The 6,000-nt window shown below is 33.4% G+C and overlaps 1 annotated feature.

Annotated features, from left to right (window-relative positions):
- Positions 4,622–4,711: a silencer, noted in NCBI's record as "silent region_16206". NCBI's record gives its function as "represses an Ori minimal core promoter by ATAC-STARR-seq in GM12878 lymphoblastoid cells {active_cell/tissue: GM12878}" and the evidence as "EXISTENCE:reporter gene assay evidence [ECO:0000049][PMID:35858748]".

Consider the following 6,000-nt stretch of genomic DNA (forward strand, 5'->3'; position numbering starts at 1 on the left):
CATTACTTAAACTCTGAGCCTCCATTTATTAAGCTGCAAAACTGAAAAGCTTTTGTCTACACTTCTAGATTGTTGTAGAACGAAGTGAGATTTTACATGGTTTTATATTTAACTAACTCTTTACTTACCTTCACCTTCTTTTCACATGTGCTCTTTAGACCTTTCCTTCCTTCCTTCTCCTTCATTGAGTGAGCAAATTCTGAATGAATCAATGAATGAATGAATGTACTATAAACCATTTAGCAGGAAACCTTTCAGAGATAATATCAAAAGACAACTTCCAAACTGGAAAAATATTGCAACGTACGTGACACTGCAAGGATTACTTTCCTTAGTATTCAAAATGATCATACAAATGGAAAACATAAAAATAGACATTGTTATTAGGAAAATGAGCAAATAATGTAAAAAGGCAATTCATAGAAGAGAAAATACATATTATCAATAAACATAATGGAATGTATTTAATATCACCAAAGGGACATTTAAATAACTTCTTACCATTCATTAGTTGCTATTAATTACTATCTATTATCCCTCCTAGATTATCTACATAGGGCCAACATAATCACAAAGGCTGGAGAGGCAGAGTTATAGGAGGTTTGTAGACATATTATTGTGTGTGTGTGAGAGAGAGAAAAAGCGAGAGAGAGAGATTTGGAGATACTATGCTGCTGACTCTGAAGATGGAGAAAAGGACCATAAGCCAAAAAATGCGGCAGCCTTTAGAAAGGCAAGGATTCTCTGTTAGAGTCTCTAGAAGAAATGAAGCTCTGCTAACACCTTGATTTTATTCCGGTAAAATTCATTTTTAACTTCTGACCTTCAGAATTGCAAGATTTTAAATTTGTATAGGTTTATGTCACTGAGTTTGTAGCAGTTTGCTAAGGCAGCAATTGGAATCTAATACAGACATCTTTATATTTCAGGCCTTTGAGACTAAAGTTAAGGGATGATTTCAAGTGCTCGGAAAGTACAGCAAATAAGGAAATATCCAGAGCATTGACAGTAGTGGAGTGATTTGCTTGTACCTGATTTATTTGGAGGCTGGAGCTACAACCTGTGCTCATCAGTGTGACTGAGAGTCCCCAGGTAGGGATTTCAGCTGCAGGCCTCTCTTGAATCAGATTCATTTTCATAAGAACAAAACAAATTCAACACAAAAAAAGAAAACATGTGAGCGCAATTACATTTTAATTTTTTTTCCTGCTAAGAATCAATGTTAAAACAATTTTACAGTTATACTCTAAACGTTTTTGCCCTGTGGTCTTGGTCAAAAAAGGACTTCTCAAGATGTCATTCTGCTGTTTCTTATTTTCTCTCCATCTCTGTCTTACATAGCAAATATGACCACTCTACAAGTCAAAACAAGATTTTTTTTGACAGTGTTGAAGTTCAATCTTCACTTTAAAAATTAAGTGGTTCTTTCTTCTTCACATCTAGTATAACTGATAATAATTATTGAAATATTATATTAGATATCGGATGTGCCCTGCTAATTTAGTTGACAGATGCAACTAAAAAATATGTTGCTTGTCTCTTCCACAGATAGTCTAATTTCACTGTGACAACAGTAACAATCAGATAGTTCAAGGCTTATAAATAGCTAGAATATATTCTAGGAAATGTTTTAGGAATAGGTAAGAAAATAAGTAACTTTAGAAGTTACAATAAAATATTATTAATTCATGCTGTCTGTGAGGTTATCAACAATTGTCAGGAAAAAGTAAAATCTATACTAATTTAAAATAAATACCAATTTGCTCATCTAGAGCATATGCCATAATTCAAACCAACCTAACAAAGTATTACTTTAGGAATCTTTAGCCATGTAATTTAATATGTATATACGGTAGATAAGACCATATAATGGCTTTAGTAAGTTTATTACTATTACCTTTATGTAATTAGATGTTTCTAGAAAATTTCAAATAGTTCGTTTATAATGACCTTTAAAGATTGTCTCTATTCTTGGGCATTAAGTTGTGCTGCCTACTAAAATGAGGTCAATTCACCCCAGGTAAAGTTCAAACCATTCCACTGAAAATTTACGTATAAATGTATGTAAGTGTATGTACATATAAATTACACATAAATGTATGTGTATGTATATAGTATACACACACAGTATATGTATACTATATATAGATTATGTATATGTGTGTGCATATTACTATATATAGTAATGGTGGATATGTAAATTATGTATGTTTGTATGTATGTATTATATACATACATACACACATATATATACACATAATTTAAATTCTAGGCAACATTTTAAAGCCACAGGAAAACATATAAACACATATACATGTATGTGATATATATAAGCATGTATACACACACACACGTATATGTATATGTATATATGTTTTCCTGTGGCTTCAAAAAGACTTCACAAATGTTGCCTAGAATTTTTAAATATGGAGAAACTATTTGAAAAGCAAATATTTTTGAACATGAAAAGGGGGAAGTAAAATCTTAATAGAGATTATGAGTGTGATCACAGCTTTAAGAAATCTGATAATCACTTTTGTAGATTTAACGTTTGCCTTCCTTCTGCTTCAACTTTTGTCCTTAAAATGTATTTGGCAGTCAGCACTGTCTCCTGTAAACAAACAAATAAACAAACCGATAGAAGAGGTTCCCTCCAGCCTTGGTGAAAGGAAGCCTGGCTGTTACACCTGAGCTGGGCTCCTCTGCTTCTCTGTGTGACAGCTAATAGCTAATTGCAGTGTCTGCCTAACGAAGAGTATAGCACTGGGAAATTATGCTCATGACAAGTAGGAAAATGATGCTAAAGCTGAGACACTTGAGAGACTATTCAGTGTGGTGCTGTGGACTTTTTTGTGTCTCCTTTATACCTGCATCCTGCATACACAATCCTCCCCAGTGACTGCAAGCATCTTGGTCTGCTTTATGTAGCATCTGATAGACACTGAACATGCTGGTTTTATCATAACAAACAAACGCTATAAAAATACTTATTCGTTCGTTCTTTTTTTTTTTTTTTTTCTGCTCCACAATTTACTACTTCAGTCTTCAGGCGCTCCTCTCTGTGTTAAGTCTATTATCACCTCTTTCAACATCCTTCACTGTCTCTAATTAGGACAGTTTGTTTTTTTTTTCACTTTATCCCTGAACTTTGCACCCTCAGCAATAGCTATGCAGTCTCTCTCTTTTTACATTGTATTATGAGTATTATGATCTATGTCTCTATTCTGGACTCTAAACTTTGTGAAGAATAGTATAACACTTGATTAATCATTTTAAGCCCAATGCCAAACATAAATAGGTGTTCACGAAAAGTGGTTTGAAGCAGGCTGAACTGAATATTACCCATTGCCATCTATTTATTTATGGTCTTACCAAAAGTATATTATACTATAGGCATTGATATTATTTTAGAATAACACTTCTGCTTCCTGGATTGGGAGAATAAATATTATTCGATTCTGAGATCAAGTCTCACAGTTTCATCGACAAGCCTGGAACTTCAGTTGCGGTCATTAAGATGGAGCCCTTCGTGTCCCCGGGAGGCGGAGCTTGCAGTGAGCTGAGATCATGCCACTGCACTCCAGCCTGGGCGACAGAGCGAGACTCTGTCTCGAAAAAAAAAAAAGATGGAGCCCTTTTGCATGGTCCATCCACTTTAGAATGTTATGAGAAATGACTGTGCAGTCAAGATTTCAATGGTAATAATGGCAGTAAGACTAACTTTAGGAACAAAAGAATTTGTTACAACGTTATTTATTGGAAGGAATTTACGGAGCTTTGGATGTTCAAGGAGAATACTGGGAAGCTTACGAAGCAAGATGAGAACAACCAAAATCCTTCCACAGTAAGGATCTGCTCATGATTCTGCCACTGCTACCACCAGCACTGGGTACTTGCAACCACACCTGCATATTTTCACCTCCACAGAACCTCTGCAAAGGAATCAGAATTTTGCTTGTTCCTTGGAATTATTCAAAGATTCAAAGTTCAAAAGGGATTGTCAAAAGTACAGGCAACAAAAGCAAAAATAGACAACTAGAATTGCAACAAACTAATAGCTTCTGCACAGCAAATGAAACAGTCACAGAGTGAAGATACAGCTTACAGAATGGGATAAAATATTTGCAAACCATATATCTGATAAAATATTAATATTCAAAATATATAAGGAACTCAACCCAATAATAAGAAAACGAACAAGCCAATTAAAAATGAGCAAATAACCTGAGTAGAAAATTTTCCAAAGGAGACATACAATGACCAACAGGTATATGAAAAATGCTAAACGTCAGTATTCATTATGAAAATGCAAATCCTAACCGCAATGGGATATCGCCTCACACCTGTTAGGGTGGCTATTATCTTAAAGATAAAATCATGTTTTTACATTCAGAATTAAGCCAAGCTACTAAACAACACAATTTTTTAATGACATTTCGAGGATTTTTTGGGGGAAAAGCTGGTTTAATATAGAAAGATAAGGACATATAAATGACTTTTGTGGAAAAAAGAAGAGAAGGATTTTCCATTTTCTTCAGAAAGAAGCTGAGTACAGGGAGGAAGTAACAACGGAAAGAAGGAGATAAAGATGTACACATGTGTAACTTGCTAGAACCAAAAAATAAAATACAGTGAAGGGAAAGTGGAGAGAAATATGACACATCGGTATGAAGTAAGCAGAGAAAGCTGCTACTTTAAGCCACTAGGAGTCACAACAGACCCAGAACTATTTTTGATGGAGGTATTAGCAGCAAGGGTGAGAAATTAATTCTTCATAGGAAGTGCAGGATGATCATAATCCAGAGGACTTTTCTAAACTAGATGTATATTAATCAGACATTGAGTTTTATATTTATAATGATGTTGGCATTATTTTCTGAACATAATTAATGATTATCAAGAAACAGAGAAACAAAGGAAGTAAGAAAAACATTAGCCGACTAACCCATTAAAACAGTACTCCAAAAATGTTCCCAAGTGTCCTCATGTAACAAATTAAACCCAGATGCCTATTTATTTTTTCTCTCACTTCATATAGATGGATAATAAAATATATTTCAAGATGAGTATTAGTATTCTGGAAAAAAGAAAAAACAGTCACCTAAAGTTTTACAATTAACAATTTTGTCTGCACATAAATCTAAGATTCTCATGATTGTTATTCGTGCTAGGAGAAGAGTATTCGAGAATTTTTTCTTAAACTTGAGAAGTCCAGATGATCAAAATATAAAAGTTATTTTATAGGTATTACCACATTAGCCTTTAAGGCAACTTGATAAATATTTGTAAAATCATTCCTCTTGAGAAATCTCATCTCCCGAATGGCACAAATGCTGGAATTCTGCCCTTTCTTACTCTCCTTAGTTGGGTATTTTTGCACAGTGCACAACCTGTATAACCGTAAGTGGCTGCTGTCTAAGTACTTTATATACTATTTCAAGGAAAGCATTATTTCCCCAACGTAATCATATTAATCCTAATCTATTAATTTATGCATAGGTAAAGATTATCATGTATCATTCATACAATAATAGCATATTTGTGCTCAACACTCTGGATGTCTTGTTTTATAAAGAAATAGTAACAGTTTTTTCAAACACTTTCTTTATAGCAGGCATTGTGGCTGGACTAAACACACGCACACGGCACATATATCATTTTGTGCATATATACTGTATATTATATACATATTATATATTATAAGTTGTATATCATATATACATTATACATGGTATATAAATTATAAATTTATAAATACATTATATATAATTGTGATTGTTATTCATGCTAGGAGAAGTGTATTTGAGATTTTTGTCTTAATTTGGGAAGTCTGGATGTTTAAATTTTTAAAATTATTTTTATAGATATTGCCACACATTTATATAGATAATTTATTTCTCAAAAAAATCCTCTGAGGATGGTAAACTTTCATATCTTGCCAAAGGAAATTTTGTATATTCTTTTCTCCCTCAAGGACATAGTTGTTCCTCAAAAAGATAT

This window comes from Homo sapiens, chromosome 5, assembly GCF_000001405.40.
Source record: "Homo sapiens chromosome 5, GRCh38.p14 Primary Assembly".
Taxonomy (NCBI): Eukaryota; Metazoa; Chordata; class Mammalia; order Primates; family Hominidae; genus Homo; species Homo sapiens.